The 26821-nt window shown below is 42.8% G+C and overlaps 1 long non-coding RNA gene across 2 annotated transcripts in view, besides 1 other annotated feature; it reads right to left on the reverse strand.

Annotated features, from left to right (window-relative positions):
- Nucleotides 1–26821, reverse strand: part of LOC107987011 (uncharacterized) — a 71633-nt gene that overhangs the window by 5901 nt on the left and 38911 nt on the right. For both annotated transcript variants that reach the window (XR_001746548.2, XR_007061697.1), the window contains one exon: nt 627–5108. This is a non-coding gene — a long non-coding RNA (uncharacterized LOC107987011). The remainder of the gene's footprint in view (nt 1–626; nt 5109–26821) is intronic.
- Nucleotides 24520–25719: an enhancer, noted in NCBI's record as "BRD4-independent group 4 enhancer chr9:102181342-102182541 (GRCh37/hg19 assembly coordinates)". NCBI's record gives its function as "activates an origin of replication core promoter dependent on BRD2, P300/CBP, MED14 and CDK7 cofactors, and independent of BRD4, by STARR-seq in HCT116 cells {active_cell/tissue: HCT116}" and the evidence as "EXISTENCE:reporter gene assay evidence [ECO:0000049][PMID:35650434]".

The following is a 26821-nucleotide window of genomic DNA, read 5'->3' on the forward strand; positions in this document are numbered from 1 at the left end:
TAGGCTTTCTACTTCTCCTTGGTGGTTTGTATTTTTTTTTTCTTTTAGAAAATTATCCATTTCATCAGCCAGGCATGGTGGCTTATGCCTGAAATCCCAGCACTTTGGGAGGCCAAGGCGGATGGTTTACCTGAGGTCAGGAGTTGGAGACCAGCCTGGCCAACATATAGTGAAACCCCATCTCTACCAAAAAAAAAAAAAAAATACAAAAATTATCTGGACGTAGTGGTGCACGCCTATAGCCCCAGCTATTTGGGAAGGTGAGGCAGGAGAATTGCTTGAACCTGGGAGGCAGAGGTTGCAGTGAGCCAAGATTGTACAACTGCACTCCAGCCTGGGCAACAGAGCAAGACTCCTTTTTCATTTAAAAAAAAAAAAAAAAGAAAGAAAGAGAAGAAAATTATCCATTTCACCAAGGTTTCAAGTTTATTGATAATTTTTAATGTTCTGTTATAGTTAAAAATTAAAATAATTTTTACCTGTAAAAAATTGTTCTTACAAAATGGATAAATAAAAGTATTTGCTATGCATAATCAAAGTTTAAATTTTCATAATATTAGAGCCAAAATATCATTATTCATTATTTCATTAAATATGTTCTTACAACTTAAAAAAATAAGACAGACCATTCTTATTCTTCTTTTATCTCTTCCCTAATTCAGCAGCCAAGTTGCCTTGCACCCAGGCCTCAGATACAGAGCTGTCCCAGTAGATTCAGACTAGCATGGCATCTCTTTCCTATGACAAATGACAGTTGAAGTTTTAGAGAAGATTCCTGAAACTTGGAAGTTGTAGGGAGGATAGCTGGATCCTGATCCTATCCTAGCTAGCACCAATGAGGACTGGGAGGAAGAGGCTGGGACATGAGATGTATTCTCTTCTTTGTTCCTCACTCTATCTCTGTGGGTGGAAAAAATTACTCCCATTCTATAGATGAGAGACCAGAACCTCAGAGAGGTTAAGCAACTTTCTTAGGGGGCACAGCTAGGAGGGTAGGCTGAATAATGATCCCCCTAAAATGTCCACATTCTAATCCCAAAAACTTATTTAAAAAGGGACTTTGCAGGGGTGACTGAGTTAAGGATCCTCAGATGAGGAGGTTTTCATGGATTGTTTGGGTGGGCCCAATGTAATCCAAGGATCCTTTCAAGAGCAAGGCAGGAGGGCCAGAGTCAGAGAAACAGACACGACAATGGAAGCAGAGGTTGGGGTGATACTGGAGTGGGAGGGGCCACCAGCCAAGGAATGCAGGCAGCCTCTAGGAGCTGGAAAAGGCAAGAAAGCATGTTTCCTCCTCGAGCCCCGTCAAGGAACCAGCCCCACTGGCAGCTTGATTTTAATCCTGTAAGACCCATTTTGGACTTTTGAGCTCCAGAGCTGTAAGATAATAAATGTGTGTTGTGTTAGGCCAGTTGGTGGTAATTTGTTATAGCAACAACTGGAAACTAACACAGGTTGGCACAGAGGGGAGGGAGGCTTTGCGCGCAGGCCTGTCTGGCTTCAACCTCCATTTCATCATGGGCCAGGAGGCCTGGGTACCCAGCCTGCACCTTCCCCTCAGCAGGCAAATTTCTGGCCCTGTAAAATGACAGGATTGTGATTAGATGATCCTGGCTGATCCCAGCTACAGAAGAACACGCTGGGAAACTCTTGCCCTGGCCAGTGGAGGCCTGAACCACAGATGAGAGACCTGGGCAGCAGAGGACAGGTGGGAGCTGGTTAAGGGGAAATAACAAAGATATGACTGATAAGGGACTTGATGTGGCAGATGAAGGAGAGGTAGGACTTAGGATGAGGCCCCAATATGGCTTGACAACGATGGGGATGGGAGGGTACCATTCACCCAGATGGGCCATGCGGGAGGAAGAGCTGGTTTTCCCAGGAAGATGAGGTCAGATTTGAGCCTGTTGAATGTGACATTTATGTGGAACTGACCTGCGAGGGGGGGAGGACCATTTGGATCTAGGTGTCAGGAGGGTGGCTTGGGGGACAGCTGGGGATCTGGGCATTGTAGGTGAATAGCCACTGAATCTGTGGATTTGGCTGAGATCACCCCAGGAGAGTGCGAAGTGGGAGAAGAGAAGAGAGACAATGCTGAAACCCCATGGGAACTGACATTAAGTGACAACCAAAGGAAGATAACTCAGTGAAGGGGACAGAAATAGTCTAGCAGCCAGCAAACCAGTGAAGTGTCATGCATGGAAACCCAGGAAATACAGAGCCTCAAGGAGGGAGAATGGGGGGAAACACCAGCCAGCACTGCAGCATTTGACAGCATCAAAAGCTGACTGGAGCTTGACTAAGACATTCCATTAGGTTTGGGAATTTGGAATCCATTGGTGACCTTAGGGAGAGCCATTTCCCCAGAGAGGCAGGGGAAAAGCCAGATTGCACCGGGGTGAGGAAAGGAAGAGGGGTGACGATGCATGGATGGCAGGTTATAGAGAGATGTGTTTATTTTATTGGAAGATATGATACAAACTACACCAAAGACAGCCAGGAACCTTCCTGAACAAAAAGTACAAAGGAAAATAATACAGAATGACAAAACCTACTCAACAGCTTAACCGTAAGACCTCGGGGTAGTCTAAATCAGAGATGGATGACAGCCTCCCAGGAAAGTGGCAATATAAGACAGCATTGGGGATTCAGCGGGGCGACCACTGTCACCGCAAGGCCGCCCTGCAGACAGCACCTGTCCTAAGAGGGCTGCAAGCCCTGGAGAGCAACATTAAGGTGATGTCTTTCAACAGCTTCAGTTGCCAGCTGTGAATTCCAAGCCATCCTCTTACCTTCACTTTGGGCAGACGCTGACTCCTTGATTTTCTCATCTTTCTGCATTATCTTGGCCTGTGGATAGTGTCCACAAGAAATGAAGACTATAGGCTCAAGGTGGGGTAGCAGACACCACCAGTACCTGGCCGCAGCACCCCTATCTTTGCCATTTCAGTGCACGCAGCCAGACTTCCAGTTGCCAGCACCTATGGATATTTGCAGGTAGGCATTCTCTGGCCATCAGAGCCTGCTTTACTTTTTAATTTTTTTTCTATCATTACTTATTTTATTTTACTTTAAGTTCTGGGATACATGTGCTGAATGTGCAGGTTTGTTACATAGGTATACATGTGCCATGGTGGTTTGCTGCACCTTTCAACCAATCATCTAGGTTTTAAGGCCTGCATGCATTAGGTATTTGTCCTAATGCTCTCCCTTCCCTTTCCTCCCACCCCCTGACAGGCTTCAGTGTGTGATATTCCCCTCCCTATGTCCATGTGTTATCATTGTTCAGCTCCCACTTATGAGTGAGAACATGCAGTGTTTGGTTTTATGTTCCTGTGTTAGTTTGCTGAGGATGATGATTTCCAACTTCATTCATGTCCCCGCAAAGGACATGAACTCATTCTTTTTTATGGCTGCATAGTATTCCATGGTGTATATGTGCCACCTTTTCTTTATCCAGTCTATCATTGATGGGCATTTGGGTTGGTTCCAAGTCTTTGCTATTGTAAATAGCAGAGCCTGCTTTATATATGTGTGTGCAGATGGGTGTGTAGGTGAATTAACTCCACTCTCCCCCTCCCTGGAACAACTTGCAACAGACTGAAGGGAATTGGTGCATCCATACCCCAGCCCTGTCACCTCTCAGGTAGGTTAACTCTGAGGTGCAGAGCTCCACACTGTTTTCCACAATTCCCCAGTGGGATTAAGCTCCACCTGCCTATGGTGGTAACTAGCTTCATGGCATTCTCCATTGGTTTCCTTGCCTTGCCTTGCCTGTCTCGCTTTCCCACTTTTTGTGGGCTTGCCTTCTAAATAAACTACTTGCACTGGAGTCCTCTTCTTGAGGTCTGCTTCTGGGGCAAAACAAAGTCAGAGGCCTTATCTGATTCAGCGTGTGGCAAAGCTCCTTGTGTGTCCCTGGAGGCTGATTTCTGGCAGCTGTGAAATTAGTCACCTGGTCTTTGTCAGCCATTCACCCCTTCACTATCACCAGCATCCACACCTACTATGCTCTATCTCTGGGCTCAGTGCTTCACCAACATTTTCTCATCTAATCTCACTTGTTGAAGGGGCTCTGTGTGGTAGGTGGAATAGTGACTCCCCCCACAAAGATGCCCACATCCTGATTCCTGAACCCAGTGCAAATATTACTTTATGTGGCAAAAAAGACCTTGCCGAAGTGATTAAGAAACTTGAGAAGGGGAGATTATCTTGGATGATCTGGATGGGCCCAAAGTCATCTCAAGGGTCCCTAGAGGAGACAGGCAGAAGACTCAGATTTGGAGAGATGAAAATGTGGCCACAGAAGCAGAGGATCAGGGTGATTCGAGGAAGAGGCTATCAACCAACAAATGCAGGTGGTCTCTGGAAGCTGGAAAAGACAAGGAAACAGATTCTCCCTGGAGTCTCCAAAAGGAATGCAGCCCTGCTAGCACCTTAGATTTAGGACTTCTAATCTCCAGAATTGTAAGCTTATAAATCTGTGTTGTTTTAAGCCACGAAGCTTGTGGTAATTTGTTACAATAGCCACAGGACATTAATATGGCCTGCAGAGAGGTTAAATATATAGGTTCTGGGGCCAGAGGCCTAAGTGCCAAGTCTGGTTCTAACATGTTGTAGCCATATGACCTTGAGCAAGTTATTGAACCTCTTTTTACCTACATTTTCTCATCAGTAAAATGGGGATAGGGATGACATCGGACTCGGGGATGTTGTGAGGTTTAGATGAGTTAGTACAGACTTAGCACCTGGAATAGTATCTAAGATATGATAAGCACTCAGTATCTGCCTGTTATTATTACTACTAATATTTATGATAGCCTTGCAAAATGCATATTTTCATCTTCATTTTACATGCCCAGAGAACTCACATGACTTGCCCAAGGCCACGTGGCCGGGAAGACCCAGATATCCCAGATCCAACTGACTCCACTTTCCGTTCCCTTCGGAAAGATCTCACCTTCTCCAGGCTCAGTGGTTCCAGTGATTACAACTTACCCTACAGGAACCTGGTCTCCAGTGTCCTTCCCCATCCTGTGCCTTCTATGACCTTCCCTGCTCGGCCACTCTCCGTTCTGCAGTTGGCCACTGGCCCAGCTTGAGAGCATCTGGAAAACATTGATTTGCATTAAACATCACAATTTTCAAGGGACCACCTCATGTTGTCCTTGCAATAACCCTGGTGGGCAGGCTGGGCGGGGAGCATCATTTCAAGCATCATTTCAAGGCTGAAGATATTGAAGCTCAGAGAGGCTGGGGACTTGCCTCAGGTCATTGGGCCCTGGAGTGGCAGAGCCAAGGGAGGAGCTGGAGTTCCTGGCTCCTGACAGTGGTGCACCTTTCCCTCTGCCTGTCAAATCCTCCTAAAGGCTCCAGCTAACTCCCTGCTGTTCAAGTCCCAGCCAGTAAGAACTGCCATTGATTTAACGCTCATTTAAGGGAATGTGATATAAATCCTGCGTAGGTGGTCAGTAGCATGTACACATTTTGTTTCCCTTAATATTGCTTTAATTGAGTATCATTTGGGTAAGTACTTTGATTAGCAAATGTTTATGCTTCGTGAATTTAACAAAGTTAGACTTTTCCAGTAACTGGAAAATACTGAGTGATGCAATTATTTTGATTTTCGTGATAAACCAAATGGAAACCCAGGGTCCCTTGTCAGGGTTCAGTGTGGTACACTGAACCCAGCCGGGGAAGCCTGCGTCACTAGCATTCCCGGTGACAGTGAACAAATTCCTTCCATTCTCTGGGCCCCAGCAACTGCTCTGGGAAATGAGGCAGTTGGACTAGATAATTCCTAAGGGTATTTACAGCTTGAGGTTTTGATGATCCCCAGGCCAAGGTTCCTAGGAGCAGAGACATTCTCTCCCAGCCTGCAATACTGCGCCTCTGACCTGAGTCCTAGAGGACAAGGAGGGTTGGCCAGTGTCCAGGGGCCACATTGGGAACACAGCCCTTTGTGCCCCAGCCTTAGCGTGGCTACCTTTGTTTGCTCTCTGCCATCATGGGGGAGGCTGCCCTGCCCCAGCCCAGAGTGTTGCCAGAAGTGGCTGGGCCTCCTCTCCTTGGCAATGCAGAGTTCACATGGGAGCAACCAGTCAGCCCTGTTCAAGAGCCTCAACAGAGGGGGAGCTGTGGTCTCAGGACTGCAATCAAGGGCAAACAGCAGCTCCATCACTTCACCTAAAGATCTGTTGCCTAAAACCAGTTCGCTTAACAATCCATTTGCCTATTAATCCATCCATGGCTTCATTTTTTTTTCTTTTTGACATTGTAAAGATGATCTTTTCCTTAATTTAACAATGGAAGCTTAAAATTTAATTTTATATTTCCTATAAGATTCATTTTGGTGTGCATAGGGTTGTTTTATATTCTTGGGGGCGTCTTATAACCCAAACATGCTCAGGCCTTAGCATCTTGGGAACACAAGTAAAATTCCAGTGACACTGATGCCCAAGTCTTGCTAGCCTTCAGCCTCAACCTGGATAACCGGAGGACCTTGGCAGCCCCTCCCCCAGCTGTTTCAACTTGTCCACAGGGCTGCCTCACCTCTGCTCCGTAATGCATCACTTTCAGCCTTTCCTCCAGGGTTCCTCTCACATTCTCCTTCCACATAGTTCCTCTGAAGGACATGTGTCCCCCTAAAGTGTGGCTAAAACCACACTCGGCCTCTGGTACAGAAAGGGAGGTGAGCAGGCTCATCCCAGCTCCAGGGTGGGCTCTGTATGAGATGAGAGCCTTCCACTTTTTTATGAACATGGTCCGTTAACTTTTAGTCTGTACCTTCCCTTCAGGATCCATCTCTCAGGTCTGCAGGAGGGGAAACCATTTCTCATCTTTGCATACTCCCTCCAAAACCACCCCTCCCTTCAACCACAGATGAATTCCTCGTGCCAGTGGAATCCAGCAACTGGATTGAAAAGGCACTGAAAGCCCATTGGTACCACAAACTCCAATCTTTGAACATCAGTCTGATTTGCTGTTGTGCTGAATCCCTATTGACTTCAGTAGGGATGACACTATGTTCGAGAGGCTGAAGAAGAGACATGGAGCCAGCCAATGAGACATAGGATTTATTAAAAGGACTTACATACAGGGCGGTCCCCTGCCAGTGGTGGCAGGTTGGACAAAAGAACCATTGCTGCTTGTAAAAAGCATGCCATTTACACAGCATTTTCAATGAGCATCCTCCCCCTAACAACCACCACCTGACAACTTCATTTAACCCAAAATAAAGGGCCTCAATCCCCTGTATGGTCTGTGTTCCATGGAATGGGCCGGAGGTTCAGATATTCCTCATAGATAAGAAATGAATCTCCAGGTTGGCCACTCCCAGATTCCTTAGCTTGGAGCTTTGAACATATTCTTCATAGACCATAAGGTCATTCTCAGGATATGCCTAAGTTTTTGCTGTCAGGAGCATCTACCACACATTTGCATAGTTTATTTTTAAAAGATTGTATATCTTAATTGATATAAGAAGAGTTCTAAGATGAATCATTACAAAAATAAATCTTTCAATCCCCCCACTTCCAAAAGATAGCACAAAAAGAACAGGACATCTAAACAGTTTCAAAAACACACAAATGGGCTGAATTTTAGCCCAACTGCCCATTACAGAAATCCACCAACAGAAGAAATGGCTTTAGGTGAAGTTGTTTTAACAGTGAGATCTGTTAAAGCAGAGAGCCTATCTACAGTGGAATGTGGATCCTTGGCACCTACCTCAGTACCTGGGGCATTATAGAAACTCAGAAAATGTGTACTGCATCAAAGAATGCATGCATGAATGAGGTAAGCTCAGTGACTTCTATCTCAGCTTTGATGATACCCAAACAGAATCTGGGCAGAAATCTCTATTTACATGTAGGGATATTAGCAACTTCTTAGGACATTAACAAAATTCATTTTCATTTGGAAACTAACGAGGGCCGGGCAGCTTTTGGGAGGATAGGTCAGGAAGTCAACAGAGAAGGCGACCAAGGCCTTGTGAGTCACAGATCAGACTTTTCCTCTGGGGAAGGCCACAGGGGCAAATGGGTAGGTGCAGGTTAGTGTCAGGTCTGCCCACCTTGATTTTTTTGCTCATAGCTCAGCTGCAGGAGAAAGGATGGATGGATTTCTAGATTACCAAAAAAATTCTCCAGAAGCACAAAAGGGGGTTGAAGTGACCCTTGTGAGACTAAGACATACTAAGTTTGTTCAGTCATTAATTCCACAAATATTTACTAAGCACCTATTATGTGTTCAGCTCTAGGCAATAACAGAAAATAAGACACAGTCTCCTTCTCAAGGAACTCATAATTTAGAGACAAGTTAATAGAAAATTAGAATTTGCTGTGGTAATTAGAAGTACTAGATGCTTTGAGGCTATAAGCACCTAAAGTAGCCCTGCAGGATGAGAAAGGCCCCACAGTCTGAGCTCAGTTCTCAAGGATGAGGAAGGGGGAGTCTGGGGAATGGGGAAGGGTTGTGGGTGTCGGGTGGGGGAAGAATGATTCAGGAAGAGGGAACTGCAAATGAATGGATTGGAGGGAGAGAAGGAACAGCCTGGAATTCAATTCACAGCTCCTTCAGCTGTGATGGGATCCTGGGAAGTGAGGGTGGCCATCATTCAGGGCCTCACTGCTGGCGACGAAGTGTCCATATGCCACTTTGGGTATATGGAGGAGGCAGGGTAGAACCAGAGGGTGCCCTGGGGCACTGGGGTGGCCTTTCTGGAAAGTCACCATCAGAAGCCCTGAAGAAGCCCTGGAAAGCCACACCACCTCCTCTCCTGGCAAAATGTGGTGTCGTCTTAGTCCAGGAAGGTGGGGCAGAGGATTGAGGACATTCTAGGGGTCTGTTGCAAGAGAAGACAGCATCCAACTCTAAGAGGCAACAGAGGTAAGAGCAAGTTGGCAGGGTTAGCTGGCAGAGACGTGGGGTGATGAGATCCACTGTGAGGAGGGAGCTGTGAAAGATGCCCAGCCTGCTTGGAACATGGGCCCCATAGTAGCCAAAAGACTGGAAAATATTGTGGTAAAACAAGCCAGACAAGTCAGACAGGCTGATTTAATTCCTCCCCATTCCAATGTTAGAACTTCATTATTACCAACCAGGAAGACTGGCTGGCAGGTACCCCAGGGATAAGCCTGGAATCTTCAGATTTTGGGGATGTTATCTAAGAGCTCTCAGTAGCAAAAGGAGGGGAATTTGGGGCACAGAGTCTTTACAGATCTCTTATGTTTGAATAATATATTAAGAGTCTACCACTTTATGTCTGCCACTGCATAGATACTCACCCCAGACCTGCGAGGTCTGCTGGGTAGGGGTGTGGTAACATCCCTAGTTCATAGATAAAAATGGTAAGGTTCAGAGGGGTCACCCAGCTCTAGGAGGAAAAACCAGGGCTCAAATACTATGGCTTGCTTCCCATGATCCTTGCCATCTCCTATGCTTCATCACCTATGTGCTTCCATGCTGCAGATTTCGAGGTTTGCAAAGGTTTAGAAACCATTCATTCTACATGTGATCCCATGGGAAGGTGCTCATCATATATTGCCATGTGAAAAAGGCAGGCTGCAAACTGAATTGCAATACTGTTGCATTTTTGTGAAAGAAAAGTATGCCCATACACACTCTTCACATGACCATCGGACAACTTCTGAATGAACAAACACCAAAATAATGGCTATGTTTTTTTCTGGGAAACGGACTTTCCAGGAAATTTAAAAAAATTCTTCCTTACCTGCATTTTCTTTTTTTATTCTTTTTTTCTCTTCTTTCTTTCTCTTTCTTTCTTTCTTTCTTTCTTTCTTTCTTTCTTTCTTTCTTTCTTTCTCTCTCTCTCTCTCTCTCTCTTTCTTTCTTTCTTTGTCTCTCTCTCTCTCTCTTTCTTTCTTTTTTAGATGGAGTCTCACTCTGTCACCAGGCTGGAGTGCTGTGGTGCGATCTCAGCCCACTGCAACCTCCGACTCCCTGGTTCAAGTGATTCTGCTGCCTCCCTGAGTAGCTGGAATTACAGGCATGCACCACCAGGCCCAGCTAATTTATGTATTTTTTTTTAGTAGAGATGGGGTTTCACCATGTTGGCCAAGATGGTCTCAATCTCCTGACCTCGTGATCCGCCAGCCTTGGCCTGCCAAAGTGCTAGGATTACAGGTGTGAGCCACCGCGCCTGGCCCCTTACCTGCATTTTCAATGAATTAATATAAATTACTTTATTTAATTAATAATTATACATGGACATAAATTACTGCTTTATACTTAATATATTAATTGTTATTAATTAATGTGTTACTTCTTTTTCTGTATATGTTTTATTTTTTATTGACATAGTTGTACATATTTATGGGGTAGGGGTGATATTTTGATAAGTGTACACAATGTTTAATGATGAAATCAAGGTAATCAGGGTATCCATCACCTCAAACATTTATCTTTTCTTGTGTTGGGAATGTTCCAATTCTCGTAGCTATTTAGAAATATGCAATAAATTATTGTTAACTATAAAGCTGTGGTCTCCCTATTGTACTGTTGAAATTAGAACTTACTCCTTCTAACTGTATTTTTGTACCCATCAACAAACTTCTCCTCATCCCCTTCTTCCCCTACCCTTCCCAGCCACTGGTAACCATCATTCTACTCTCTACCTCCTTGAGATCCACTTTTTTAGCTCCCACACATGAGTGAGAACATAAGATATTTGTCTTTCTGTGCCTGGCTGCTTTCACTTAACATAACGTTCTCCAGTTCCATCCACATTGCTGCAAATGACAGGATTTCATACATTTTTATGACTGAATAGTATCTCATTGTGTATTTAAACCACATTTATTTATTCATTCATCCATTGGTGGACACTTAGGTTGATTCCATATCTTGGCTATTGTGAATAGTGCTGCAATAAACATGGGCATGCAGATATCACTTCAACATACTGATTTCCTTTCTTTCGGATATATACCCAGCAGTGGGATTGCTATATCATATGGTAGTTCTATTTTTAGTTTTTTGAGGAACCAAATTATTTCTTAATAAGGAGGATAGTGAAGAGCTGAGGAGTGGAGGAGATTTCACAGCTTATAGTGACAGCTTCTGAAAAGAAACACTATCCATGAGGGCCAATGTGTTCTAGAAAAAGAAGTCATATTCAGAAACTGGCCAATAAGCTCATGTCAAAGTGTATCAGAGTGTCGCACAGGGTCTGTCTGAGAACTCAGCCTTTAAAGGCCAGGGAGGGGACATCTACATGGAGACAGACCAGCTGTCCAGGGATAAAGAATGAGACCCTCTGCCTGCACTCTTTCCCCTCTGGCCTTTCTTACTTCTCCCTGGATGAGCCCCTCCCCTCTGGTCTGCCCAGTCTCCTTTCCGGCCATAGATAAAACATAGTCCATTATTTTAATCCCTTACTCATTACTCTCCAGGATTTTTGTTTTTGCAGAATACTGTCCAAGACAACATACTGTCCATCTCTCCAGGCCGTCTCAACTTCACCTGGCACATACACCAGTGCTCTACACATCAAGTGCACCAGATTTCTGGGGGCTTCTGAACACTGCAGACTTTCTCCCAGTCTGGGCCTGTGACTACGTATGTTTGTCATCTTTCCTAGAATGTTCAAGGGTGAGCTCAAATATCACCTCTTACAGGAAGTCTTCCCAGTTGGATCATCTCCCAACTCCAGTCTCAGTAGAATTATGTTAATTATGTTTCTCCCTATTTCTGCCATCATTGATCATGTATGCCTCCACTGGCCCTTTCATACAGAATTCTTTGATTCATATGCACACCCATATCCCCCACTAGGTTATGAGCCCTTGAGAGCAGGGACCATACCTTGAGACAAACTAGAGATGTTCTGCAGAGGAAAAGTTAAAAGCACAGACTTTAAAGCCATATTCATGGGCTAAAACCTTAACTCTGTCTAACACTATCAAATTCTGCAACTCTGGGTAAATTACTTAAATTCTCTTAATCTCAATTTGTCCATCTGTGAAAGGGGTTACTGCTAGCACCTACTTTAGAAGGCTGTAAAGGAAAATGGGTTAATGCATATATCTCCTTATCAGAGTATCTGATTCTTAATGAATGGCAGGTGGTATTATTATCATTCATAACAAACAGTAGTAGTAGTAGTAATAGCAGCAGCAGCAGCAGCAGCAGTCAGCTCAGTATCCCCAGCACAGGGGCTGCCAGGCACTCCATGAATGTTTAGTAAATGGAAGGGTGGATCAATGAGGTCCCTCACTGTCTTCCTCTCTCCCTTCCCGCCCAGAAAGCAGACAGAGGCAACAACTGGTTTGGGGGCATTGCTCCATCTCCCAGCCTCAGCCTGAGGCATTCTTTATGATCTCAAGACCATACTCCTTGAAGCTCAGTCTCTAGGATTCACAAAGTTGAAGTGATACACAGACCAGCATTTCATGTTCTCCTTTGATCTCCATGAATGAATGTTTGGTTGGAGAGACAGGGGAGAGCTACCGCTGAGGTAGATCCTTAAGATCCTCCTCTACCCTATGCACACCTCTTGAGGCTCCTAACAACACCCCCTGCAAATAGCCGTGAGGTGGAAGCCAACAGAGAAAGCCTTATCTGACTGGCAACCTCTTGGCCAAATTCTTCATGGTTCAGACTCAAGTGGCAGCAGCTGAAACTCAAAAGGGTAGCTGAAGTCGTGCCGAAGTCCAAAAGCCTGGAAAGGCCTGGGATGCCCTGATTGTCTGTCATGGTGGGGAGCAAAGAGCACAGGCTCTGAAATCAGGAAGGCCTGGGTTCAAGTCCTATCTCTGCTATTATCTGGCTATGAAACTTTGAGGAAATCCTTAAGCTTGCCTAGCCTCAGTTTCCTATTTTCTCTGTGAAGACTGACTGAAATGCCAGAAATAATGTCTGACTGACTCATAATAGCTGCTTAATGGATATCACTTTCTTCCCCTTGGGCCCGATCTCACTCAAGCCCCATGGGGGAAGTGAATGTCTTTCCAACTCCTACCATCCCAGAACCTTTCTACGGAATGTAAAGGAGGTTGTATTTCAGCCTGATCATAAAAAAGGAATACAGTTTGGAAGTACAGAGAGAAGAGAAGGACATTCGACACAGAAAGACTTTAATGAACACAGGCCCAGAAGAGAGAATTCATGTTACCTAATGTAGGGGAAAAATGAATCAATTACATTCTGGCCCTATTTGGTCAGGTAGTTTAGACAGAGCTTTGTTTTTCTTTTTTTCTTTTCTTTTCCCTTTCCTGTTTGCTTGTTCATTTTTTAACTGTCTGCGAGAGGTTAAAGCAATCTGAATTAAGTTAGTTAAATTGACTTTTATTATTGAATTATAATCATTTGTGCAATTATAAAACCAGGTGTTCCTGATTGAGATCAATTATTCCTTCACCTGATCACTATAGAGCTAATAAGGACTTAGAATTGCCGTTCAAGTATACTTCCAGCCGCGCTGAAGCCTTCTGGAAAGGCATTTATTAAGCCAAAGAGTGGTGGAAAAAAATCCAGGGAAGAACAAGGACAGAGATTAAAATCCTTTAGGAAAAGGCCTAGAAAGGCTGATTTGATCATCAAGTAGCCTTGATGGGTAGCTGGCTGTTGACAAGGGATCTTTGAGGTATTCCTACAGGAACTTTGATTGGGGTGGGGCGGGCACGCAAGTGGGGCAGGGAATGAGGATGACAAAACAAGCATGTCTAGGGAACAGCCAGTCAGAAACCCATTTTCTGCTGTGTTCCTCTGCTGAGGTGGAGTTGCCCTTTTCTCCTTGTGAACATTTCAGTTCTGACTCCAAAGGAATGATGTGGAAAAGCCTTGGCATCCTCTTCCCCTGTGTGAGGAGCATGAAAAGTGTGATTTCTATTCTGGGAGATGCAGGTTCCAGATTCCCAAAGTTCTAGGTTCTTCACATTTGTCCGAAAAGACTTCTGTGAGGAAGACAGCATAGTAGTTATTCTTTCCGTTTTACAGGTGGGGACCCAGAGACTTGATCAGTAGACTTGCCTATAGTCACAGAATTAATGACCAAGATGGGCTTGGACGGAGCCCCTCAGACAGCAAGATCACCCAGTGGTCTTTTCCTCACACCTTGGTGCCCCATGTCCCATTCTAGAGGCAAGTCAGGGGAGTGGATCATCTCTGCAGTGGTTTACAAATCTTGAATTAACAGAGTAGCTTAAAAACATGCCCTATGCAGGCCGGGCATGGTGGCTCACACCTGTAATCCCAGCACTTTGGGATGCGGAGACGGGTGGATCACGAGGTCAGGAGTTCAAGACCAGCCTGGCCAAGATGGTGAAATCATGTGTCTACTAAAAATACAAAAATTAGCCAGGCATGGTGGTGGGCACCTGTAATTTCAGCTACTCTGGAGGCTGAGGCAGAGAATTGCTTGAACCTGGGAGGTGGAGGTTGCAGTGAGCTGAGACCACACCACTGCACTCAAGCCTAGGCGACAGAGTGAAACTCTGTCTCAAAAAAATAAAAAATAAAAAACAAAAAACAAAAACTAAACAAAACAAAGAAAACACGCACTATGCTTGGGCCCTCCCCTAGACCAGTTAAGTAAAAGTCCTTGGAGCTGGGTCTGGGTACCACAGTATTTTAAAAGCACCCTACGTAATTCAAATGTGAGGCAGGGCTGTGAGCCACTGATGTAATGGGTGGGTGGCTTGTTAGCTAAATGGAGCCAAGATGGCTTTGGAGAATTCAGGAGTTGTGCAACACCCTTTGGATGGCAAATGCCAGGTATTTAATTCAGCTACATTAGCTTGGTTATTTGCAGAGGGATTTATTAGGAGACCAATTTCACCAAGATAGAGTGGAATCTCAAGGACAAATCTCAAGGAGTTTTCTACTCCAGTAGTAGAAAACCACTTGATTTTGCCTGCCCCATATCCACAGCCCTCATCCCATGTTCTCTCTTTGTAGCCACTTCATTCGTTCCTCACACTGTTTCTTCCACAGTACAAGGTACCTGCTCACCAAAGACCCCAGAGATCTCCACTGTTGAAGATCTGAGACTTCTTCTTCATCTCATTCTTGGCCAGGTACCTACTCCAGGCCAATCAGTTTGGTCACATGTGACTAACATTGTGACAGCCCCACTCAAACTACAAGGCTAGAGTGAGGGAAGGGATCGTTTTACAGAAAGGGGATGCTGTTCTACCAAGACAAACAATAGAACCCCCATGGGATAGCCATTGATAGAGTTGGATGTTTGTTCCCTCCAAATCTCTTGTTGAAATGTAATCCCCATTGTTGGAGGTGGGGCCTGGTGAGAGGTATTTTCGTGAAGACAGTGGATCCTTCATGAATGTCTTGGTGCTGTCCTCACAATAATGAGTGAGTTCTCGCTCTGAATTCATGCAAGATCTAGTTGTTTAAAAGACTGTGGCACCTTTCCCTCTGTCTCTTGCTCCCACTCTCGCCATCTGATATGCCTTCTCCTCCTTCACCTTCTGCCATGATTGGGAATTTCCGGAAGCCCTCACCAGAAGCAGATGCGGGTGCCATGCCGCCTGTACAGCCCGCATAGCTATGAGCCCCAATAAACCACTTTTCCTTATAAATTACCCAGTCTCTGGTATTCTTTTATAGCAATGCAAGAATGGCCTAATGCAGCCACCATCTGTGGCCCTCACCTAGGTATATCAGCAGCTGGACCACTCTGCAGAAATGCTTCAATAGTTGCCTCGACCAAGGAGAGTTAAAGTCCTGCTGGTCTGAAACCTCATACCACCAAGGAATAAAAATCTACATCTTTGAAAGCAGCACAGTTTTGGCCCAATCATTTCATGAATGCTGGGCAGCTGGACCAGAAAGGCAGAGGAGCTAGGTGCGGAGGCAGCTGGACACCATGTCTGCCCTCCAGTCTGCCAAAGACTCACAGAGCCTTGGATTTGAAATGGAACTCTACGTTAGTCAAAAGATCTTTAAGTTGCAGGTGACAGAAACCCAACTCAGACTGATGTACCTGCATAAGAAAAGGAATCTATTGGCTCACAAGACTGTAAAATTCAAAGTATTTGCTTTCGGGGTGGCTGTGTTCAGAGCCCAGACAATGTCCCACAGGCTCAGTTTTATCCTTTGCCTCTCTCAGTTCTACTTGCTCCTGTGTGGGCTCTGTTCTCAGGTGAGTTCTCTCTTTTCAAAGACAAGATGGTCACCAGCTTCAGATACCCCTGCAGGAAGTCAGCATCTTTTTTTTTTTCCAATGGAATTATCAAAACTCCAGAGTTTCATGCCATTGAAATAACATGGGTCCCACACCTGAATCTATACCTGTGGCCAGGAGGTGATATTGCACAAACTGAGAGTAGGGGAAGGAAAATTGTAGTGTGGATGGGGAATGGGCAGAATGGTATGACAGATGTCCTTTAAAGATGCCAAAGTCATCTAGTGTGACAGGCCCCAACCCACATGCCAAAATGTATTCCGTGATGCCTTCCCCAACCAACAGCCTGACAACGGTTTAGCAGTTCCTTCTGCCCACCTCTGATTTTGTATAGACAAAATACGCAAAAGTCACTCCTAGTGTGAACCTGCTCAGACAGAGTATGACTCTGTTATCTTGGTACCCTTACAACCTAGCATGGAACTTTGACAGAGAAAATTATTAGAGTTATGTTGAACCACAGGACTTCCAAGAACCACCAAGTTAAGTAGGAAAGGGATCACAGAGGCTGGTAGGATGAGCTCTGAAGCTGGGCCAGATCTCTGGTGTCAAGTTTCAGATCTGCTCCTGAGTCACTGTGACCCTCAGACAAACAACTTCTCAGATCTTGGCTTTGTCCACACGATCTTCCCCAACTACCTGTCAGGATTACTCAGAGGTTTGTATTAAAAGACAAGTGAAGCAAGTTATTAAAAGCAAGTTATAATTGTCAAGTAATAGCATTATGTTTCTCACTGATAGAATAACCAAGAGCTATGTTCAGAAAAAATAGCCTTATGAAAAACAGTTTAAAGGTGGAAAAGACATGCGATGGTGGGACAGCCGTGCAGCATGGAAACAAAGTCTGGGGAAGAATGGTTTTAATATCAAATGTGTGCTCTGAAGAAAACAGTAGAGTGGGGGATGTAGGAGAGTAGAAGCATAAGCTAGAAATCCACGGAGCAAAACCAAAGAAGACGGCCATGTTGGAGGGGAACCCCCAGCACAGTTGGCTGCTGAGCTATTACCTAGAGGAGCCTCTGGGTGTGGTCCTTCTGGGCCTGGCCAAGAAGGGAAGGTCTTGGCCATTCTTACCCCTTTCTCATCTGCACAACGAGGGCCCAGAAGAGCCTTGCAGACGGATCATGACCAGATCCAATTTTGTCTGCTGACACCAAGCTGCTCCCTTCCCTGACACTGAAGGCCGTCTGGCTTTCCTCACTGTCATCTTGGGCTGTAAGTAACCCTCTTAAATCACCATTGGACAGAGAAAAGCTAGCAGCCTGCTTTGCAGCTCTCCTTCCATCCAAGCCATTAGTATGTTTAACAGCTCTGGCCCCATGCTGATTTCTGACATGCGGTAATTAATTCCTTTCCACTCAGAGATGTAGCCATTCACAGGTCTTGATTCAAAAATGTTCCTGTTCTGTTCTGTTTGAAAAATACTTAAAATGCTGAGTAGAAAAACCATTTGGCTTTTTGTGAAGGCCCACTAGTCTCTATCCCACCCTTATATGAAACTAAATTCCAGATGTATTAATAATTTAAATATACAATATGAAACCATTTAAATACTCTAAGGGGAAAATTTAAACAACATTTATATAATGTTATTATGGGAAAGGTCTTCCCAAGCATGTCATCAAAGGCAGAAACCGTAAAAATCAAAGTTTATGAATGTATTCATATCGAAAATGTAAACCTCTGTATGGCCTAAATTGATAAAATATAATTGGATTAAATTAAAAGGAAATGAAAAATTTGGGATTCTGTTTACAATGTACAAGGGCTGCTACCTATAATGATAATCATGATGATGATAATAATACTGGTTAATATTTATTTCTATGTACCAGTGTTACTATATGAAGAATATTAACAATTTAAATCACAAAAGAAAAAAATCAATTGGTAAATAAACATGGAAGAGCATATTCTATTTTACTTATAACTGTAGAAAAGCTAATTAAAACAATAATAAAATGCTACTTATGAAATTAGCCAGGGCAATAAAAACATTAATACCCAAATGTTGGTTAGAGTGCAGGGAAATAGCCCTGTTCACACATGGCTGTTGGGAGTCTAAATTAGTACAAACTTTCTGGGGGGGAAATTTGTCAAAAGCAGAAGTATGAATTCATTTCCACATTTAGGAATTTATTTTGGAGAAATAATTAAGGATGTACACAAAGATATAGCTATAAGATGCTATTTTAATAGTGAAGATTGGAATTAATTCAAATGTTTAACAATAGATTTGTAAGGAAGTTGTCATATATCCATATAGAAACATAGTGTGCAAACATTAAGAATTAAGTTGTAGCTGTATATTTATTAACATGGAAAAGGGTTCATAATCTATTGTTAATAAATAAAGACAGACTAAAATGTATGCTCAGCATATAAAATCTCATGTTTTGCAAAATTTCACAGAAAAAATGCCTGGAGAAAACATCCCAAATATTAACAAACATTAGCAAAAAGTTATCTCCTGTTGGTAAAATTAGAAGAGATTTCAATTTGCTTTTGTTTACAGGTATTTTCTATTTTTTCTATAAGGAATGAATATTACCATGTAATAGCCCTTACAGAAATGATTACTCATGATTCATGTAAGGATTAAATAATGTAATAGAAAGTGGTTTAAGGATGCCCCTTGAATGGTAACTGTCATTTCCAAAGAGAGCCCCAGGAAGGAGAAGATGATCAGAAATGTTGGAAAGGATGAACCTAAGAACAAGTGTAACTTGAATAAACTGACTGTATGCAAAGAAATTTGGGTTAGGGGATTCTGAAGAGTGAGCATGGATGGAAAATATGGCCATAGGCCCCCCCATTTGGAGAGTTTGATAGAGTAGAACAAGTTGAGAACATAAACAGAACCAAGAAAGACAGCAGGTCAAAAGTTGATGGTTTTTTCTTTTCTTTTGGAATATTATAAAGTTTTGAGAATGTTTTAAAGTGAAGAGAGTTTGTGCAAACTCATGCAGATGTCTGCAAATGATCAATTTAAACTACATGTTATTAAAACTTCTCCTGGATCCATAGTATGTGATATGTCCCCCAGATTGGCTCCCTGTGTTTCATCTGCAGCTTCTATGGATGATCCCTATCTCTCTGCAAGTTTACACAGCCATGGTAACTGTTAGCTACCCTGGGGCAGTGAGAAATGCAGCAGTCTTGGGCAGGATTCTCAAGCCCATACCTGGAGAAGTCAAGCTAGACATGATCTGAGGACCCTGGTCAATTGGAGGATGTCTTGTTCTTAGGCAAAATATCTTACAGCATTTGTACCATAAGGAGACTTGAAGATGACCAGGCTAACCGCTAGCCAGGGCTAGACTCCCCTCTTCAACTATTCTGTTACTCAGTTGTCTGGCCTTGTTCATGTACCTTCAGTGACAGGGAACTCACTACCCCAATGTGCTAAACACTTCATGTCTAGAATTTCTTTTTCAAATCCATTATAATTTTTTAATAGATTGCTATTCACTGAAGAGAACTTTTTTACTTTTTATGTTCCCTTTCACACATAGCTATTGTGAATATAATTTATTAATTGAGAAACTGCATTTGATAATTCCAGTCTCCAGAGACCCTGTACATCTGTTTCTGTTGTCTGTTGTTTTTGCTGACTCTCTTGCCTAATTTTCTTCTGTGCTTTGTTATCTTTTGTATTGACCAGAAATTGCATTAGAGAGATTACTACCAGCAGTAATTTGAGGCCCGTAATGAAAGTGAGTTCCTCTCCAAAGGATTTGGGTTTGCTTCTACCAGGGATCTTGTTAAAGTACAGATTCTGATACAATTGGTCTGGAGTGGTGCCCAAGAATTTATGTTGCAGATGAGCTCTCTGCTGATGCTGCTGTTGGGGATCTGTGGGCCACACTTTGAGTAGTAAGGGACTAGAAAAAAACTCAGAAGACTGGAACCAGGCTGTGATTCTATGAGGGCTATGCCATTTCTGGTTCTCTCTCATCCTGGGAGTGAAGTCTCTGGGATTCTAGCTTGTTGTGGGAAGGGTTTGCTGGGAGTTGCCTCTCTGCTGTGGGCCTAGGCTTTGATTTTATTTCTGTTCCCCTCATTTCTCAAGGCTGCCAGAAAAAATATTTCTGATTTTGAGAAATCGGCACATGTGTGCTCAGAGCAATAAACTTTCTGTGTTTGCTTACTTTGCTAAGTTTTCGTTTTCCCTTTATTTTTAATTTGGTATTTCTAATATTTCTTTTGTCATCTCTTCAATGGTTTTAAGAAGATTTTTTTTTAAAAATGTATATTTTCCATTGCTTCCAGCAGGAGGATTGATCTAAATAACCTACTTCACTGTTCCCAGAAAAAAGAAGATCTATGCTAAGCACTTCATACACATTAACTCATTTAAGATTCTCAAAATAATAATATTCAAAGAACCTTCTAGCATTCTCTCTTTCTTCTAGGTAAGTCTTCGCATACATCTATAATAATGATTATTTGTTTAGAGACATTTATAGGATTCGCTGCTGTCATTGATGCTTGTTCTTCCTTTAAGGCTCCACTCAGCCTCTGCCATTCTAAAGGTCTTTCCTTGATGTTCTGCCTTGGCTGGGTCCCTTCCTTTGACAGCCTTCTTGTGACCCAGAATTTCAGAATGGAGCAGCTAAAAGCAACCATAAAGTTTCCCTTCTCGTTCTACAAATGAAGCGTTGAAGCCCAGGGAAGAGAAACAACCTGCTCAGGGTCACACAAAGAATTATTGCTGCACCTGAGACTAGAACCCAGCTCCTCCTTACCCAGCCTGACAGCGTTTCCAGGTCACATGCGAATCCTTCGTTATGTTGAGCCAAGCTCGCTTATCTGCAACTTTCGTGCAGTAATTAATCAAGAAATGGCAAGATGTGTGTCTTCTAAATCCGGGAAAAACACCAAAAGAGCTTGGTACAATTTAATGTAATTTATATCTGCCTAGTTCTGAGGATAAAGGTCTCCATCCCCAAACAGCTGAAGGCGGGGGATGCAGTCAACAGACACTACTGAAGGAGGTAACAGTTCACAGGGTTTTATTTTAATTGTCCTCTTCAATTTAATTTCTATCTGTGAGACCTCTGAAATCGAAGGAGCCCCGAAACGCCATAGAATACACCCACTGTCCTCCTGGAAGTCTTCCAGTAAAAACAGCTTCTAATTAAATAAATTAGCTCTGCCATGTTAACTTCACATAGCAGAGTAAGACTTCCAGTGACAAGCTTGTTTGACTGTACTGTCAGTTTATTACTTGTTAAATAATCATTGAGTCTTGCTGTTCCTATCCATCTTACAACCTTTCACTAACTGAACATAGAAGAATTGTAAAATGAATAAACAAACAAACAAACAAACTAATCATCATAAGGAAAAATAATGGCAGTGCTTAGGGAAACATGTCTGAAACCCATTAAGAAAGGAAGCAAAATGACTAATTCAGGAAGTGGGTAGTAACTTATTCAGTTACAAGGTTACAACTCATTCAATATAATTTCTCAAACTCTTAAACTCCTGGCCCCAAACACTGCCCTGACCATGTGTCCTCTTGAGCCCCATCCAACCCCTGCAGACACACATACACATACACACACACACACACACACACACACACACACACAGCCCCACCCACCCTTGTCTCCTCAAAGGTTCCCAGGCATACTCCCGTGCCTCTGTCGTTGGAGCATGCTATTTCCTAGAATGCAACACTGTATGCTTTTTTCCACCTGTCAAAATGCTTTTCAGCCTTCAGGGCCCGACACCAGCTTCCCTGAAGATTTCTCAGGGATGAAGCTGCTACCCCTACTTGTGGGAATCCTCCTCCAGAAAGGCTAGGGAGATCCATCCTCTCTGGAAGGGACTCTGGCACCTGAAGTGTGACCAAAGAATCACATGGATCCCTACCACCATACTTACAAGTTTTTTAGTATCTGTCCCCTGCAATAATGGGACATGCTTATTATACTAAGAAGTTATTTATTGTTTTATCTGAAATTCAAATGTAACTGGGTATCCTGTATTTTACCTGGCAACCCTACTCAAGATGTTTGGCATTGCCTGTGGCAGTGGTTCACACAAGAGAATATTTGCAGGCTCCACTTACTGCCTTAGATGTTACTAGGGCTATGTGCAACTTACTAGACAAAGGTTCACTCACTACTTTGTTTTGTTCCACTTAATAATGCAAGAGAGTGTGAATTATAAGTCAACTTGAACCTCCTTGAATGTGTCTGTATATGACTCTTCAAACTTTTGTAGAAATAACAACAACAACAATAATAGCAATAGTAATACTACTACTGATATCTATATTGCCAGGTACTATGTCAACAGCTTCACAGATACTAACGCTTAGGCCTCATAACAACCTTGTCAGGTAGGTGCCATAATTATCTCTACAATACAGATGAAGAAAATGAGGCACTAGGCACTTTAATAATTTTCCCAGGGGACAGTAGGTGGCTCATGATTGGTGAGTAGCAGAGTTGGGATCTCCTCTGCTGCCTCCTTCATGGCCAATACTAATACGTTACTTGTAGCTTTTCATGGCTAATTGTAACATACCAGTGTTCTGTGACTTTGCAGTTGCAAACAACAGACTACAGGATCAATTCCAAAATTATTACTTTGGAGTCATGACTTTTAATGAGTTGATGCAGATTACTTTTACAGGTCAAACTCCTGATATTCCACATCTCCATGTTCCAGTCAAACTTCTCCATGTCCAGCATCTCATATGGTCTCTGGAAGAGATGAGTAGTTGCTCAAAACATTTGCCTTTCATACCTCCTGCTTTGTGCCATGCTCTGTGATGAATTTCAATGTTGTCCTCCTCTCAGCCATCATTTCTTCTCCAAAAGGAAAATTTCTACTTATCTTTAAGATCTAACACAGATGTCACCTGCCTTGTGAGGGCTCCCCTGCTTTTCCCGAGCTGTATGGGTTCTCCCTCTTTCTCTGCTCCTTCAGGACTTCAGTACTTAGATCATGGCCCAAACCCTGGTCTCTGGATTTTCTAATCAGCACTGTCTGCTGACTCCATTCTACCTCCAGTGATCTGCTTTTCCGGAACTGAGGTTCTCCATCTTGACCAAAAGATTTTGATTCACTAGACTCCAAATCAGCCATGGAGCTTTGTAATATACAAGTAATTGGTCCCCATGGCCCAAAATTCTGATTGAGCAAGTTGGATGTAAGAGCCAGACATTGATATTAAGGAAAGAAATCCACAAGTGGTTCTGAGCCACAGTTCAGAGCCACGGTTCTGAGTAGCAAGGGATATTCCAGATCAGCTTGCTGAAGTCGAGCTGTGTTCTTGGTACCTGGTAAGACACATTTCTCTCTACTGGCCATGCCCTTACATTCTGAGGGTGAGTATAACTGACAGTCTAAAAAATATTTTGGGGAGGCCAGGCACAGTGGCTCATGCCTGTAATCCCAGAACTTTGGGAAGCTGAGGCAGGAGCATCACTCGAGCTCAGGAGTTTGAGACCAGCCTGGGTAACATAGCAAGACCCAGTCTCTACAAAATAAATTTTTAAAAATTAACTGGGCATGGTGGTGTACACCTGTCGTCCCAGCTACTCAGGAGGCTGAGGCAGGAGGATTGCTGGAGCCCAGGAGTTCGAGGCTGCAGAGAACCATAATTGCTCCACTGCATTCCAGCCTGGGCAACAGAGAAGGACCTTGTCTCAAAAATAAATAAAAAGAGTTTTAGGGGGAGAATCCTTAAGGTCCCTTCCAAGTCCAACCTTCTGTTATCCTAATGAGATTTTCTGACATGAAATTCAATGTCACTTCCCCAAAGCAGTGCCACTAACTACAGTGAGAGCAAGGAAAGGTAAAGATGTTTGTTTCAGGTAACAGTAGAATTTGTTTAGAAGAGAAAGACTTCTGAATTGGTTAGTATTATCTCAGGTGGGGAAACTGAGGCTCAGAAAACTGTAGGAAGCTTCCCACGTTTCTGGTTTTTCTGCCGCAGCCCCACTTGTGTCTTCAAAAACCTTGTTCGCAGTCCCCCTGCCACCAGGTCCCCACTGGGGATATTTGGAAGTGAAGAGAAGGACCCCCAGTTTATATCAAAGCAAAGAAACCATACCCTGGCCATCCAACCAAAATTTAATTTTAAATGAAATCTAGCCTCATAGAAGACACCCCCCAACACACACAAAATATCACACAATTTAACAAAACTCCGAATCACTGTAAAGCAGCTGCATTTAAAAAAAAAATTAAAATTGAATTCTCAGGCATAATCCAGAGATAAAAGTCAAAAAAGCCAGTATGCAATGATTGAGTATGCACGACCACAACCCTTAATCTCTGCCATCCTCCGCAGTGTAAACAAATCTGCTGATTGTTGATGATATTGCTGAAAACATCACTAATCAAACCTTAAATACCAAATATATTTAAGCAAATAACACTCCAGTTACAGTCATTCTAGCTCATCATGAAGGAAATCCAAATCGGAGACCAGTTTGAAAATGGCCAGAGCTATACTGTAGCTTCGCATTAATTGACCAACATCCTAGAGGCAGTGCTTTCTCTTAAGTACAGAAGGCCTGAAATACAAAAGGAAATAAGGAAGAAGTCCAGGAGGCAAACGCTAATGCAATTTCAAACTGGAATTACATCAGCAGCTTTAAACAGATGGCAGAATGGGAATAAATGTGTTAGCTCCTTTCTCTTACTTAGGCTTTCATTGTTTATATCATTAAAAATAAGGAGAGTTTAAAATAACATATATCGTCATGTAGCACCTCACAGAGCTATGCAAAACTAGTTTGAAGAAAAGATTGAATTTGGTCATACTCCTGGATGTTTTGAAAACAACTGGGTGAATTTAATTAAGTAACCAGCTGGCTATTTACAAAAATTGTAAAGGCAACACTGATTATGGCTGAGCTGGGTATAGAAAACTGGATAATCCAAATTTGGTTTCAGAACATTCTCCTGTTGATGAGAAGGCTTGGGTGGGTTATAGAATGTCAGCCTCCATCTTTCAGTGAAGCTAATTGATTATCTAGTCCAAGGATGGCAAATAAATGCCATGGATGTCACCACTCTCTGCTCCTAGTGTCACCAACATCACTAACTTATTAGGGTAAGCTTCTATCTGAGATTTAACCTTAGAATTCTTCTGAGGATACCTCCAGCTTTTTCATGACAGACTGGATATATGGAAACCTGTTTGCCCTCCCTAATCTAGTCCAATTCATTCATTTTTCAGAACAGGGCACTGTCACTTATAAAATACATTGCATTTCACCTTGTTCCTTCTTGAATCACTTGCTTTGCGGGAAGCCAGTGCCATGTTGTGACACTCAGTCCCAAAGAAAAGTCCATGTATCATGGAACTGAGGCTTCTTGCCACCAACCAGCACTGATTTGTCATCCATGTGGGTCAGCCACTTTGAAAGCAGATCTTCCAGCCCAAGACAAGCCTTCAGATGACAGCAGCTCCCGCCGATATCTTGACAGTGACCCCATGAGAGACCTTGAACCAAAGCCACCCAGCTAGGCTTCGCCTGAGTACTTGATCTATAAACACTGGGGTAATCAATGTTTGTTGTTGTTTTAAATACTAAGTTCTGGAGCAAGTTGTTACATAACATTAGATACCAGCTACAGAAGGAAATGAGGGAATGGCTGTAAAGTGCTATCTCTTTGTCTATCTTAGGTATTATTTTCATATAATAACCTGTTTTTTAGGTCACTGCATTTCTCCTTTATTTTGTATAAGTCACTTGACATTTCCCCTTGATTTCTCCTGCAAGTGAAAAGTAGAGAATCAACCCAGCACAGGTAAGCTGTCACTAACAGAGGATGTGAAATCTCAAGCCCCAGGAATGAAATCCGGAGGGTTTGAACCCACCCTGTTTCCCCACCCCTGTATATGGGATTCAGGATGGTGTGCTTCACAGTGACACCCCCGAGACCTCATTGCCTTCTATTAGCATCCAGACTGGTCAGCTTCTCTCGTTAACATTTCACACTGAGCCTTCTGAATCCCCTTGATGACTTTTGCGTACACTAATTGAAGGCTTTACTTTAGAAGAGAAAAGATAATCAGCAATTTTTTTAACCTACTTTCGTGCTACCAGAAAAGCATTATGGATAAAAGCTTACCAGTATTTTACACAATTAATCATGTTGAACAAAATGATATGCCTCATATTTCTTGTTTATCTGTGCTTTTCTTCAAAACCAGAGATGGATATATAATTCTTCGTTAAGGGTGACTGAACTTTTTATAAAATTAATTGCTTTTCCAGAAATTTAGACTTTAAAAAAAATTTTTTTAAAGACTTAAAAATTTTTCAAATTCTGTCATCTTTGGGTGAGAATGAGTTTTTTGTAAAATCACATTGGGATCCCAAATATTTGCAGGTTATTTAAATCATGCTTTCCATATTTGTCTCTTGTATATGTTTTTATTCAAATACTTTAATGGAATTGGTTGGATTTGTTCGGCCTTTTACCTAAACAAATTATCCTATGGCACGAAAACATTTTCTAGGTTATATAATACTTAGGAAATTGTCCTAAGGCTAAGAAGCCGGTCCTATTACAGTTTAAAAATATTTTTGTATTCTTATCATGTCTAAAATAGCAAATCCTAATTTTTCTTACTTTTTGCCTTAATTTAGTAAAATTAAAACTTTTTTTCATGATTTC

Source organism: Homo sapiens, chromosome 9, assembly GCF_000001405.40.
Source record: "Homo sapiens chromosome 9, GRCh38.p14 Primary Assembly".
NCBI classification, from domain to species: Eukaryota; Metazoa; Chordata; class Mammalia; order Primates; family Hominidae; genus Homo; species Homo sapiens.